This window comes from Homo sapiens, chromosome 21, assembly GCF_000001405.40.
Source record: "Homo sapiens chromosome 21, GRCh38.p14 Primary Assembly".
Classification (NCBI taxonomy): Eukaryota; Metazoa; Chordata; class Mammalia; order Primates; family Hominidae; genus Homo; species Homo sapiens.
Window position 1 is genome coordinate 8,432,929 of NC_000021.9, and position 13,917 is coordinate 8,446,845.

At 72.6% G+C, this 13,917-nt stretch overlaps 5 non-coding genes across 5 annotated transcripts; all 5 read left to right on the top strand.

Moving 5' to 3' along the window:
* The first annotated feature begins 293 nt into the window (after positions 1–293).
* On the top strand, positions 294–13,644 carry RNA45SN1 (RNA, 45S pre-ribosomal N1). Its single transcript, NR_145819.1, has one exon. It is a non-coding gene; the product is annotated as an RNA, 45S pre-ribosomal N1 (ribosomal RNA).
* MIR10396B (microRNA 10396b) lies at positions 3,396–3,446 on the top strand. Its single transcript, NR_162111.1, has one exon. It is a non-coding gene; the product is annotated as a microRNA 10396b (primary transcript).
* On the top strand, positions 3,948–5,816 carry RNA18SN1 (RNA, 18S ribosomal N1). The gene has a single exon (NR_145820.1). It is a non-coding gene; the product is annotated as an RNA, 18S ribosomal RNA N1 (ribosomal RNA).
* RNA5-8SN1 (RNA, 5.8S ribosomal N1) lies at positions 6,894–7,050 on the top strand. The gene has a single exon (NR_145821.1). It is a non-coding gene; the product is annotated as an RNA, 5.8S ribosomal RNA N1 (ribosomal RNA).
* Positions 8,218–13,283, top strand: RNA28SN1 (RNA, 28S ribosomal N1). The gene has a single exon (NR_145822.1). It is a non-coding gene; the product is annotated as an RNA, 28S ribosomal RNA N1 (ribosomal RNA).
* Positions 13,645–13,917: the final 273 nt, after the last annotated feature.

A 13,917-nucleotide genomic window follows, 5' to 3' on the forward strand; every position in this document is an offset into this window, starting at 1 on the left:
GGGGCCGGCCGAAAATGCTTCCGGCTCCCGCTCTGGAGACACGGGCCGGCCCCCTGCGTGTGGCACGGGCGGCCGGGAGGGCGTCCCCGGCCCGGCGCTGCTCCCGCGTGTGTCCTGGGGTTGACCAGAGGGCCCCGGGCGCTCCGTGTGTGGCTGCGATGGTGGCGTTTTTGGGGACAGGTGTCCGTGTCGCGCGTCGCCTGGGCCGGCGGCGTGGTCGGTGACGCGACCTCCCGGCCCCGGGGGAGGTATATCTTTCGCTCCGAGTCGGCATTTTGGGCCGCCGGGTTATTGCTGACACGCTGTCCTCTGGCGACCTGTCGCTGGAGAGGTTGGGCCTCCGGATGCGCGCGGGGCTCTGGCCTACCGGTGACCCGGCTAGCCGGCCGCGCTCCTGCTTGAGCCGCCTGCCGGGGCCCGCGGGCCTGCTGTTCTCTCGCGCGTCCGAGCGTCCCGACTCCCGGTGCCGGCCCGGGTCCGGGTCTCTGACCCACCCGGGGGCGGCGGGGAAGGCGGCGAGGGCCACCGTGCCCCCGTGCGCTCTCCGCTGCGGGCGCCCGGGGCGGCCGCGACAACCCCACCCCGCTGGCTCCGTGCCGTGCGTGTCAGGCGTTCTCGTCTCCGCGGGGTTGTCCGCCGCCCCTTCCCCGGAGTGGGGGGTTGGCCGGAGCCGATCGGCTCGCTGGCCGGCCGGCCGGCCTCCGCTCCCGGGGGGCTCTTCGTGATCGATGTGGTGACGTCGTGCTCTCCCGGGCCGGGTCCGAGCCGCGACGGGCGAGGGGCGGACGTTCGTGGCGAACGGGACCGTCCTTCTCGCTCCGCCCCGCGGGGGTCCCCTCGTCTCTCCTCTCCCCGCCCGCCGGCGGTGCGTGTGGGAAGGCGTGGGGTGCGGACCCCGGCCCGACCTCGCCGTCCCGCCCGCCGCCTTCTGCGTCGCGGGGCGGGCCGGCGGGGTCCTCTGACGCGGCAGACAGCCCTCGCTGTCGCCTCCAGTGGTTGTCGACTTGCGGGCGGCCCCCCTCCGCGGCGGTGGGGGTGCCGTCCCGCCGGCCCGTCGTGCTGCCCTCTCGGGGGGTTTGCGCGAGCGTCGGCTCCGCCTGGGCCCTTGCGGTGCTCCTGGAGCGCTCCGGGTTGTCCCTCAGGTGCCCGAGGCCGAACGGTGGTGTGTCGTTCCCGCCCCCGGCGCCCCCTCCTCCGGTCGCCGCCGCGGTGTCCGCGCGTGGGTCCTGAGGGAGCTCGTCGGTGTGGGGTTCGAGGCGGTTTGAGTGAGACGAGACGAGACGCGCCCCTCCCACGCGGGGAAGGGCGCCCGCCTGCTCTCGGTGAGCGCACGTCCCGTGCTCCCCTCTGGCGGGTGCGCGCGGGCCGTGTGAGCGATCGCGGTGGGTTCGGGCCGGTGTGACGCGTGCGCCGGCCGGCCGCCGAGGGGCTGCCGTTCTGCCTCCGACCGGTCGTGTGTGGGTTGACTTCGGAGGCGCTCTGCCTCGGAAGGAAGGAGGTGGGTGGACGGGGGGGCCTGGTGGGGTTGCGCGCACGCGCGCACCGGCCGGGCCCCCGCCCTGAACGCGAACGCTCGAGGTGGCCGCGCGCAGGTGTTTCCTCGTACCGCAGGGCCCCCTCCCTTCCCCAGGCGTCCCTCGGCGCCTCTGCGGGCCCGAGGAGGAGCGGCTGGCGGGTGGGGGGAGTGTGACCCACCCTCGGTGAGAAAAGCCTTCTCTAGCGATCTGAGAGGCGTGCCTTGGGGGTACCGGATCCCCCGGGCCGCCGCCTCTGTCTCTGCCTCCGTTATGGTAGCGCTGCCGTAGCGACCCGCTCGCAGAGGACCCTCCTCCGCTTCCCCCTCGACGGGGTTGGGGGGGAGAAGCGAGGGTTCCGCCGGCCACCGCGGTGGTGGCCGAGTGCGGCTCGTCGCCTACTGTGGCCCGCGCCTCCCCCTTCCGAGTCGGGGGAGGATCCCGCCGGGCCGGGCCCGGCGTTCCCAGCGGGTTGGGACGCGGCGGCCGGCGGGCGGTGGGTGTGCGCGCCCGGCGCTCTGTCCGGCGCGTGACCCCCTCCGCCGCGAGTCGGCTCTCCGCCCGCTCCCGTGCCGAGTCGTGACCGGTGCCGACGACCGCGTTTGCGTGGCACGGGGTCGGGCCCGCCTGGCCCTGGGAAAGCGTCCCACGGTGGGGGCGCGCCGGTCTCCCGGAGCGGGACCGGGTCGGAGGATGGACGAGAATCACGAGCGACGGTGGTGCGGGCGTGTCGGGTTCGTGGCTGCGGTCGCTCCGGGGCCCCCGGTGGCGGGGCCCCGGGGCTCGCGAGGCGGTTCTCGGTGGGGGCCGAGGGCCGTCCGGCGTCCCAGGCGGGGCGCCGCGGGACCGCCCTCGTGTCTGTGGCGGTGGGATCCCGCGGCCGTGTTTTCCTGGTGGCCCGGCCGTGCCTGAGGTTTCTCCCCGAGCCGCCGCCTCTGCGGGCTCCCGGGTGCCCTTGCCCTCGCGGTCCCCGGCCCTCGCCCGTCTGTGCCCTCTTCCCCGCCCGCCGCCCGCCGATCCTCTTCTTCCCCCCGAGCGGCTCACCGGCTTCACGTCCGTTGGTGGCCCCGCCTGGGACCGAACCCGGCACCGCCTCGTGGGGCGCCGCCGCCGGCCACTGATCGGCCCGGCGTCCGCGTCCCCCGGCGCGCGCCTTGGGGACCGGGTCGGTGGCGCCCCGCGTGGGGCCCGGTGGGCTTCCCGGAGGGTTCCGGGGGTCGGCCTGCGGCGCGTGCGGGGGAGGAGACGGTTCCGGGGGACCGGCCGCGACTGCGGCGGCGGTGGTGGGGGCAGCCGCGGGGATCGCCGAGGGCCGGTCGGCCGCCCCGGGTGCCGCGCGGTGCCGCCGGCGGCGGTGAGGCCCCGCGCGTGTGTCCCGGCCGCGGTCGGCCGCGCTCGAGGGGTCCCCGTGGCGTCCCCTTCCCCGCCGGCCGCCTTTCTCGCGCCTTCCCCGTCGCCCCGGCCTCGCCCGTGGTCTCTCGTCTTCTCCCGGCCCGCTCTTCCGAACCGGGTCGGCGCGTCCCCCGGGTGCGCCTCGCTTCCCGGGCCTGCCGCGGCCCTTCCCCGAGGCGTCCGTCCCGGGCGTCGGCGTCGGGGAGAGCCCGTCCTCCCCGCGTGGCGTCGCCCCGTTCGGCGCGCGCGTGCGCCCGAGCGCGGCCCGGTGGTCCCTGCCGGACAGGCGTTCGTGCGACGTGTGGCGTGGGTCGACCTCCGCCTTGCCGGTCGCTCGCCCTTTCCCCGGGTCGGGGGGTGGGGCCCGGGCCGGGGCCTCGGCCCCGGTCGCGGTCCCCCGTCCCGGGCGGGGGCGGGCGCGCCGGCCGGCCTCGGTCGGCCCTCCCTTGGCCGTCGTGTGGCGTGTGCCACCCCTGCGCCCGCGCCCGCCGGCGGGGCTCGGAGCCGGGCTTCGGCCGGGCCCCGGGCCCTCGACCGGACCGGTGCGCGGGCGCTGCGGCCGCACGGCGCGACTGTCCCCGGGCCGGGCACCGCGGTCCGCCTCTCGCTCGCCGCCCGGACGTCGGGGCCGCCCCGCGGGGCGGGCGGAGCGCCGTCCCCGCCTCGCCGCCGCCCGCGGGCGCCGGCCGCGCGCGCGCGCGCGTGGCCGCCGGTCCCTCCCGGCCGCCGGGCGCGGGTCGGGCCGTCCGCCTCCTCGCGGGCGGGCGCGACGAAGAAGCGTCGCGGGTCTGTGGCGCGGGGCCCCGGTGGTCGTGTCGCGTGGGGGGCGGGTGGTTGGGGCGTCCGGTTCGCCGCGCCCCGCCCCGGCCCCACCGGTCCCGGCCGCCGCCCCCGCGCCCGCTCGCTCCCTCCCGTCCGCCCGTCCGCGGCCCGTCCGTCCGTCCGTCGTCCTCCTCGCTTGCGGGGCGCCGGGCCCGTCCTCGCGAGGCCCCCCGGCCGGCCGTCCGGCCGCGTCGGGGCCTCGCCGCGCTCTACCTTACCTACCTGGTTGATCCTGCCAGTAGCATATGCTTGTCTCAAAGATTAAGCCATGCATGTCTGAGTACGCACGGCCGGTACAGTGAAACTGCGAATGGCTCATTAAATCAGTTATGGTTCCTTTGGTCGCTCGCTCCTCTCCTACTTGGATAACTGTGGTAATTCTAGAGCTAATACATGCCGACGGGCGCTGACCCCCTTCGCGGGGGGGATGCGTGCATTTATCAGATCAAAACCAACCCGGTCAGCCCCTCTCCGGCCCCGGCCGGGGGGCGGGCGCCGGCGGCTTTGGTGACTCTAGATAACCTCGGGCCGATCGCACGCCCCCCGTGGCGGCGACGACCCATTCGAACGTCTGCCCTATCAACTTTCGATGGTAGTCGCCGTGCCTACCATGGTGACCACGGGTGACGGGGAATCAGGGTTCGATTCCGGAGAGGGAGCCTGAGAAACGGCTACCACATCCAAGGAAGGCAGCAGGCGCGCAAATTACCCACTCCCGACCCGGGGAGGTAGTGACGAAAAATAACAATACAGGACTCTTTCGAGGCCCTGTAATTGGAATGAGTCCACTTTAAATCCTTTAACGAGGATCCATTGGAGGGCAAGTCTGGTGCCAGCAGCCGCGGTAATTCCAGCTCCAATAGCGTATATTAAAGTTGCTGCAGTTAAAAAGCTCGTAGTTGGATCTTGGGAGCGGGCGGGCGGTCCGCCGCGAGGCGAGCCACCGCCCGTCCCCGCCCCTTGCCTCTCGGCGCCCCCTCGATGCTCTTAGCTGAGTGTCCCGCGGGGCCCGAAGCGTTTACTTTGAAAAAATTAGAGTGTTCAAAGCAGGCCCGAGCCGCCTGGATACCGCAGCTAGGAATAATGGAATAGGACCGCGGTTCTATTTTGTTGGTTTTCGGAACTGAGGCCATGATTAAGAGGGACGGCCGGGGGCATTCGTATTGCGCCGCTAGAGGTGAAATTCTTGGACCGGCGCAAGACGGACCAGAGCGAAAGCATTTGCCAAGAATGTTTTCATTAATCAAGAACGAAAGTCGGAGGTTCGAAGACGATCAGATACCGTCGTAGTTCCGACCATAAACGATGCCGACCGGCGATGCGGCGGCGTTATTCCCATGACCCGCCGGGCAGCTTCCGGGAAACCAAAGTCTTTGGGTTCCGGGGGGAGTATGGTTGCAAAGCTGAAACTTAAAGGAATTGACGGAAGGGCACCACCAGGAGTGGAGCCTGCGGCTTAATTTGACTCAACACGGGAAACCTCACCCGGCCCGGACACGGACAGGATTGACAGATTGATAGCTCTTTCTCGATTCCGTGGGTGGTGGTGCATGGCCGTTCTTAGTTGGTGGAGCGATTTGTCTGGTTAATTCCGATAACGAACGAGACTCTGGCATGCTAACTAGTTACGCGACCCCCGAGCGGTCGGCGTCCCCCAACTTCTTAGAGGGACAAGTGGCGTTCAGCCACCCGAGATTGAGCAATAACAGGTCTGTGATGCCCTTAGATGTCCGGGGCTGCACGCGCGCTACACTGACTGGCTCAGCGTGTGCCTACCCTACGCCGGCAGGCGCGGGTAACCCGTTGAACCCCATTCGTGATGGGGATCGGGGATTGCAATTATTCCCCATGAACGAGGAATTCCCAGTAAGTGCGGGTCATAAGCTTGCGTTGATTAAGTCCCTGCCCTTTGTACACACCGCCCGTCGCTACTACCGATTGGATGGTTTAGTGAGGCCCTCGGATCGGCCCCGCCGGGGTCGGCCCACGGCCCTGGCGGAGCGCTGAGAAGACGGTCGAACTTGACTATCTAGAGGAAGTAAAAGTCGTAACAAGGTTTCCGTAGGTGAACCTGCGGAAGGATCATTAACGGAGCCCGGAGGGCGAGGCCCGCGGCGGCGCCGCCGCCGCCGCGCGCTTCCCTCCGCACACCCACCCCCCCACCGCGACGCGGCGCGTGCGCGGGCGGGGCCCGCGTGCCCGTTCGTTCGCTCGCTCGTTCGTTCGCCGCCCGGCCCCGCCGGCCGCGAGAGCCGGAGAACTCGGGAGGGAGACGGGGGAGAGAGAGAGAGAGAGAGAAAGAGAAAGAAGGGCGTGTCGTTGGTGTGCGCGTGTCGTGGGGCCGGCGGGCGGCGGGGAGCGGTCCCCGGCCGCGGCCCCGACGACGTGGGTGTCGGCGGGCGCGGGGGCGGTTCTCGGCGGCGTCGCGGCGGGTCTGGGGGGGTCTCGGTGCCCTCCTCCCCGCCGGGGCCCGTCGTCCGGCCCCGCCGCGCCGGCTCCCCGTCTTCGGGGCCGGCCGGATTCCCGTCGCCTCCGCCGCGCCGCTCCGCGCCGCCGGGCACGGCCCCGCTCGCTCTCCCCGGCCTTCCCGCTAGGGCGTCTCGAGGGTCGGGGGCCGGACGCCGGTCCCCTCCCCCGCCTCCTCGTCCGCCCCCCCGCCGTCCAGGTACCTAGCGCGTTCCGGCGCGGAGGTTTAAAGACCCCTTGGGGGGATCGCCCGTCCGCCCGTGGGTCGGGGGCGGTGGTGGGCCCGCGGGGGAGTCCCGTCGGGAGGGGCCCGGCCCCTCCCGCGCCTCCACCGCGGACTCCGCTCCCCGGCCGGGGCCGCGCCGCCGCCGCCGCCGCGGCGGCCGTCGGGTGGGGGCTTTACCCGGCGGCCGTCGCGCGCCTGCCGCGCGTGTGGCGTGCGCCCCGCGCCGTGGGGGCGGGAACCCCCGGGCGCCTGTGGGGTGGTGTCCGCGCTCGCCCCCGCGTGGGCGGCGCGCGCCTCCCCGTGGTGTGAAACCTTCCGACCCCTCTCCGGAGTCCGGTCCCGTTTGCTGTCTCGTCTGGCCGGCCTGAGGCAACCCCCTCTCCTCTTGGGCGGGGGGGGGGGGGACGTGCCGCGCCAGGAAGGGCCTCCTCCCGGTGCGTCGTCGGGAGCGCCCTCGCCAAATCGACCTCGTACGACTCTTAGCGGTGGATCACTCGGCTCGTGCGTCGATGAAGAACGCAGCTAGCTGCGAGAATTAATGTGAATTGCAGGACACATTGATCATCGACACTTCGAACGCACTTGCGGCCCCGGGTTCCTCCCGGGGCTACGCCTGTCTGAGCGTCGCTTGCCGATCAATCGCCCCCGGGGGTGCCTCCGGGCTCCTCGGGGTGCGCGGCTGGGGGTTCCCTCGCAGGGCCCGCCGGGGGCCCTCCGTCCCCCTAAGCGCAGACCCGGCGGCGTCCGCCCTCCTCTTGCCGCCGCGCCCGCCCCTTCCCCCTCCCCCCGCGGGCCCTGCGTGGTCACGCGTCGGGTGGCGGGGGGGAGAGGGGGGCGCGCCCGGCTGAGAGAGACGGGGAGGGCGGCGCCGCCGCCGCCCGCGAAGACGGAGAGGGAAAGAGAGAGCCGGCTCGGGCCGAGTTCCCGTGGCCGCCGCCTGCGGTCCGGGTTCCTCCCTCGGGGGGCTCCCTCGCGCCGCGCGCGGCTCGGGGTTCGGGGTTCGTCGGCCCCGGCCGGGTGGAAGGTCCCGTGCCCGTCGTCGTCGTCGTCGTCGCGCGTCGTCGGCGGTGGGGGCGTGTTGCGTGCGGTGTGGTGGTGGGGGAGGAGGAAGGCGGGTCCGGAAGGGGAAGGGTGCCGGCGGGGAGAGAGGGTCGGGGGAGCGCGTCCCGGTCGCCGCGGTTCGCCGCCCGCCCCCGGTGGCGGCCCGGCGTCCGGCCGACCGCCGCTCCCGCGCCCCTCCTCCTCCCCGCCGCCCCTCCTCCGAGGCCCCGCCCGTCCTCCTCGCCCTCCCCGCGCGTACGCGCGCCCGCCCGCCCGGCTCGCCTCGCGGCGCGTCGGCCGGGGCCGGGAGCCCGCCCCGCGGCCCGCCCGGCCGCGCCCGTGGCCGCGGCGCCGGGGTTCGCGTGTCCCCGGCGGCGACCCGCGGGACGCCGCGGTGTCGTCCGCCGTCGCGCGCCCGCCTCCGGCTCGCGGCCGCGCCGCGCCGCGCCGGGGCCCCGTCCCGAGCTTCCGCGTCGGGGCGGGGCGGCTCCGCCGCCGCGTCCTCGGACCCGTCCCCCCGACCTCCGCGGGGGAGACGGGTCGGGGCGTGCGGCGCCCGTCCCGCCCCCGGCCCGTGCCCCTCCCTCCGGTCGTCCCGCTCCGGCGGGGCGGCGCGGGGGTGCCGCCGGCCGCGCGCTCTCTCTCCCGTCGCCTCTCCCCCTCGCCGGGCCCGTCTCCCGACGGAGCGTCGGGCGGGCGGTCGGGCCGGCGCGATTCCGTCCGTCCGTCCGCCGAGCGGCCCGTCCCCCTCCGAGACGCGACCTCAGATCAGACGTGGCGACCCGCTGAATTTAAGCATATTAGTCAGCGGAGGAGAAGAAACTAACCAGGATTCCCTCAGTAACGGCGAGTGAACAGGGAAGAGCCCAGCGCCGAATCCCCGCCCCGCGGCGGGGCGCGGGACATGTGGCGTACGGAAGACCCGCTCCCCGGCGCCGCTCGTGGGGGGCCCAAGTCCTTCTGATCGAGGCCCAGCCCGTGGACGGTGTGAGGCCGGTAGCGGCCCCCGGCGCGCCGGGCCCGGGTCTTCCCGGAGTCGGGTTGCTTGGGAATGCAGCCCAAAGCGGGTGGTAAACTCCATCTAAGGCTAAATACCGGCACGAGACCGATAGTCAACAAGTACCGTAAGGGAAAGTTGAAAAGAACTTTGAAGAGAGAGTTCAAGAGGGCGTGAAACCGTTAAGAGGTAAACGGGTGGGGTCCGCGCAGTCCGCCCGGAGGATTCAACCCGGCGGCGGGTCCGGCCGTGTCGGCGGCCCGGCGGATCTTTCCCGCCCCCCGTTCCTCCCGACCCCTCCACCCGCCCTCCCTTCCCCCGCCGCCCCTCCTCCTCCTCCCCGGAGGGGGCGGGCTCCGGCGGGTGCGGGGGTGGGCGGGCGGGGCCGGGGGTGGGGTCGGCGGGGGACCGTCCCCCGACCGGCGACCGGCCGCCGCCGGGCGCATTTCCACCGCGGCGGTGCGCCGCGACCGGCTCCGGGACGGCTGGGAAGGCCCGGCGGGGAAGGTGGCTCGGGGGGCCCCGTCCGTCCGTCCGTCCGTCCTCCTCCTCCCCCGTCTCCGCCCCCCGGCCCCGCGTCCTCCCTCGGGAGGGCGCGCGGGTCGGGGCGGCGGCGGCGGCGGCGGTGGCGGCGGCGGCGGCGGCGGCGGGACCGAAACCCCCCCCGAGTGTTACAGCCCCCCCGGCAGCAGCACTCGCCGAATCCCGGGGCCGAGGGAGCGAGACCCGTCGCCGCGCTCTCCCCCCTCCCGGCGCCCACCCCCGCGGGGAATCCCCCGCGAGGGGGGTCTCCCCCGCGGGGGCGCGCCGGCGTCTCCTCGTGGGGGGGCCGGGCCACCCCTCCCACGGCGCGACCGCTCTCCCACCCCTCCTCCCCGCGCCCCCGCCCCGGCGACGGGGGGGGTGCCGCGCGCGGGTCGGGGGGCGGGGCGGACTGTCCCCAGTGCGCCCCGGGCGGGTCGCGCCGTCGGGCCCGGGGGAGGTTCTCTCGGGGCCACGCGCGCGTCCCCCGAAGAGGGGGACGGCGGAGCGAGCGCACGGGGTCGGCGGCGACGTCGGCTACCCACCCGACCCGTCTTGAAACACGGACCAAGGAGTCTAACACGTGCGCGAGTCGGGGGCTCGCACGAAAGCCGCCGTGGCGCAATGAAGGTGAAGGCCGGCGCGCTCGCCGGCCGAGGTGGGATCCCGAGGCCTCTCCAGTCCGCCGAGGGCGCACCACCGGCCCGTCTCGCCCGCCGCGCCGGGGAGGTGGAGCACGAGCGCACGTGTTAGGACCCGAAAGATGGTGAACTATGCCTGGGCAGGGCGAAGCCAGAGGAAACTCTGGTGGAGGTCCGTAGCGGTCCTGACGTGCAAATCGGTCGTCCGACCTGGGTATAGGGGCGAAAGACTAATCGAACCATCTAGTAGCTGGTTCCCTCCGAAGTTTCCCTCAGGATAGCTGGCGCTCTCGCAGACCCGACGCACCCCCGCCACGCAGTTTTATCCGGTAAAGCGAATGATTAGAGGTCTTGGGGCCGAAACGATCTCAACCTATTCTCAAACTTTAAATGGGTAAGAAGCCCGGCTCGCTGGCGTGGAGCCGGGCGTGGAATGCGAGTGCCTAGTGGGCCACTTTTGGTAAGCAGAACTGGCGCTGCGGGATGAACCGAACGCCGGGTTAAGGCGCCCGATGCCGACGCTCATCAGACCCCAGAAAAGGTGTTGGTTGATATAGACAGCAGGACGGTGGCCATGGAAGTCGGAATCCGCTAAGGAGTGTGTAACAACTCACCTGCCGAATCAACTAGCCCTGAAAATGGATGGCGCTGGAGCGTCGGGCCCATACCCGGCCGTCGCCGGCAGTCGAGAGTGGACGGGAGCGGCGGGGGCGGCGCGCGCGCGCGCGCGTGTGGTGTGCGTCGGAGGGCGGCGGCGGCGGCGGCGGCGGGGGTGTGGGGTCCTTCCCCCGCCCCCCCCCCCACGCCTCCTCCCCTCCTCCCGCCCACGCCCCGCTCCCCGCCCCCGGAGCCCCGCGGACGCTACGCCGCGACGAGTAGGAGGGCCGCTGCGGTGAGCCTTGAAGCCTAGGGCGCGGGCCCGGGTGGAGCCGCCGCAGGTGCAGATCTTGGTGGTAGTAGCAAATATTCAAACGAGAACTTTGAAGGCCGAAGTGGAGAAGGGTTCCATGTGAACAGCAGTTGAACATGGGTCAGTCGGTCCTGAGAGATGGGCGAGCGCCGTTCCGAAGGGACGGGCGATGGCCTCCGTTGCCCTCGGCCGATCGAAAGGGAGTCGGGTTCAGATCCCCGAATCCGGAGTGGCGGAGATGGGCGCCGCGAGGCGTCCAGTGCGGTAACGCGACCGATCCCGGAGAAGCCGGCGGGAGCCCCGGGGAGAGTTCTCTTTTCTTTGTGAAGGGCAGGGCGCCCTGGAATGGGTTCGCCCCGAGAGAGGGGCCCGTGCCTTGGAAAGCGTCGCGGTTCCGGCGGCGTCCGGTGAGCTCTCGCTGGCCCTTGAAAATCCGGGGGAGAGGGTGTAAATCTCGCGCCGGGCCGTACCCATATCCGCAGCAGGTCTCCAAGGTGAACAGCCTCTGGCATGTTGGAACAATGTAGGTAAGGGAAGTCGGCAAGCCGGATCCGTAACTTCGGGATAAGGATTGGCTCTAAGGGCTGGGTCGGTCGGGCTGGGGCGCGAAGCGGGGCTGGGCGCGCGCCGCGGCTGGACGAGGCGCCGCCGCCCCCCCCACGCCCGGGGCACCCCCCTCGCGGCCCTCCCCCGCCCCACCCCGCGCGCGCCGCTCGCTCCCTCCCCGCCCCGCGCCCTCTCTCTCTCTCTCTCCCCCGCTCCCCGTCCTCCCCCCTCCCCGGGGGAGCGCCGCGTGGGGGCGGCGGCGGGGGGAGAAGGGTCGGGGCGGCAGGGGCCGGCGGCGGCCCGCCGCGGGGCCCCGGCGGCGGGGGCACGGTCCCCCGCGAGGGGGGCCCGGGCACCCGGGGGGCCGGCGGCGGCGGCGACTCTGGACGCGAGCCGGGCCCTTCCCGTGGATCGCCCCAGCTGCGGCGGGCGTCGCGGCCGCCCCCGGGGAGCCCGGCGGGCGCCGGCGCGCCCCCCCCCCCACCCCACGTCTCGTCGCGCGCGCGTCCGCTGGGGGCGGGGAGCGGTCGGGCGGCGGCGGTCGGCGGGCGGCGGGGCGGGGCGGTTCGTCCCCCCGCCCTACCCCCCCGGCCCCGTCCGCCCCCCGTTCCCCCCTCCTCCTCGGCGCGCGGCGGCGGCGGCGGGCGGCGGAGGGGCCGCGGGCCGGTCCCCCCCGCCGGGTCCGCCCCCGGGGCCGCGGTTCCGCGCGGCGCCTCGCCTCGGCCGGCGCCTAGCAGCCGACTTAGAACTGGTGCGGACCAGGGGAATCCGACTGTTTAATTAAAACAAAGCATCGCGAAGGCCCGCGGCGGGTGTTGACGCGATGTGATTTCTGCCCAGTGCTCTGAATGTCAAAGTGAAGAAATTCAATGAAGCGCGGGTAAACGGCGGGAGTAACTATGACTCTCTTAAGGTAGCCAAATGCCTCGTCATCTAATTAGTGACGCGCATGAATGGATGAACGAGATTCCCACTGTCCCTACCTACTATCCAGCGAAACCACAGCCAAGGGAACGGGCTTGGCGGAATCAGCGGGGAAAGAAGACCCTGTTGAGCTTGACTCTAGTCTGGCACGGTGAAGAGACATGAGAGGTGTAGAATAAGTGGGAGGCCCCCGGCGCCCCCCCGGTGTCCCCGCGAGGGGCCCGGGGCGGGGTCCGCCGGCCCTGCGGGCCGCCGGTGAAATACCACTACTCTGATCGTTTTTTCACTGACCCGGTGAGGCGGGGGGGCGAGCCCCGAGGGGCTCTCGCTTCTGGCGCCAAGCGCCCGGCCGCGCGCCGGCCGGGCGCGACCCGCTCCGGGGACAGTGCCAGGTGGGGAGTTTGACTGGGGCGGTACACCTGTCAAACGGTAACGCAGGTGTCCTAAGGCGAGCTCAGGGAGGACAGAAACCTCCCGTGGAGCAGAAGGGCAAAAGCTCGCTTGATCTTGATTTTCAGTACGAATACAGACCGTGAAAGCGGGGCCTCACGATCCTTCTGACCTTTTGGGTTTTAAGCAGGAGGTGTCAGAAAAGTTACCACAGGGATAACTGGCTTGTGGCGGCCAAGCGTTCATAGCGACGTCGCTTTTTGATCCTTCGATGTCGGCTCTTCCTATCATTGTGAAGCAGAATTCACCAAGCGTTGGATTGTTCACCCACTAATAGGGAACGTGAGCTGGGTTTAGACCGTCGTGAGACAGGTTAGTTTTACCCTACTGATGATGTGTTGTTGCCATGGTAATCCTGCTCAGTACGAGAGGAACCGCAGGTTCAGACATTTGGTGTATGTGCTTGGCTGAGGAGCCAATGGGGCGAAGCTACCATCTGTGGGATTATGACTGAACGCCTCTAAGTCAGAATCCCGCCCAGGCGGAACGATACGGCAGCGCCGCGGAGCCTCGGTTGGCCTCGGATAGCCGGTCCCCCGCCTGTCCCCGCCGGCGGGCCGCCCCCCCCTCCACGCGCCCCGCGCGCGCGGGAGGGCGCGTGCCCCGCCGCGCGCCGGGACCGGGGTCCGGTGCGGAGTGCCCTTCGTCCTGGGAAACGGGGCGCGGCTGGAAAGGCGGCCGCCCCCTCGCCCGTCACGCACCGCACGTTCGTGGGGAACCTGGCGCTAAACCATTCGTAGACGACCTGCTTCTGGGTCGGGGTTTCGTACGTAGCAGAGCAGCTCCCTCGCTGCGATCTATTGAAAGTCAGCCCTCGACACAAGGGTTTGTCCGCGCGCGCGCGCGCGCGTGCGTGCGGGGGGCCCGGCGGGGCGTGCGCGTCCGGCGCCGTCCGTCCTTCCGTTCGTCTTCCTCCCTCCCGGCCTCTCCCGCCGACCGCGGGCGTGGTGGTGGGGGTGGGGGGGAGGGCGCGCGACCCCGGTCGGCGCGCCCCGCTTCTTCGGTTCCCGCCTCCTCCCCGTTCACCGCCGGGGCGGCTCGTCCGCTCCGGGCCGGGACGGGGTCCGGGGAGCGTGGTTTGGGAGCCGCGGAGGCGGCCGCGCCGAGCCGGGCCCGTGGCCCGCCGGTCCCCGTCCCGGGGGTTGGCCGCGCGGGCCCCGGTGGGGCGGCCACCCGGGGTCCCGGCCCTCGCGCGTCCTTCCTCCTCGCTCCTCCGCACGGGTCGACCAGCAGACCGCGGGTGGTGGGCGGCGGGCGGCGAGGCCCCACGGGGCGTCCGCGCACCCGGCCGACCTCCGCTCGTGACCTCTCCTCGGTCGGGCCTCCGGGGTCGACCGCCTGCCGCCCGCGGGCGTGAGACTCAGCCGGCGTCTCGCCGTGTCCCGGGTCGACCGGCGGGCCTTCTCCACCGAGCGGCGTGTAGGAGTGCCCGTCGGGACGAACCGCAACCGGAGCGTCCCCGTCTC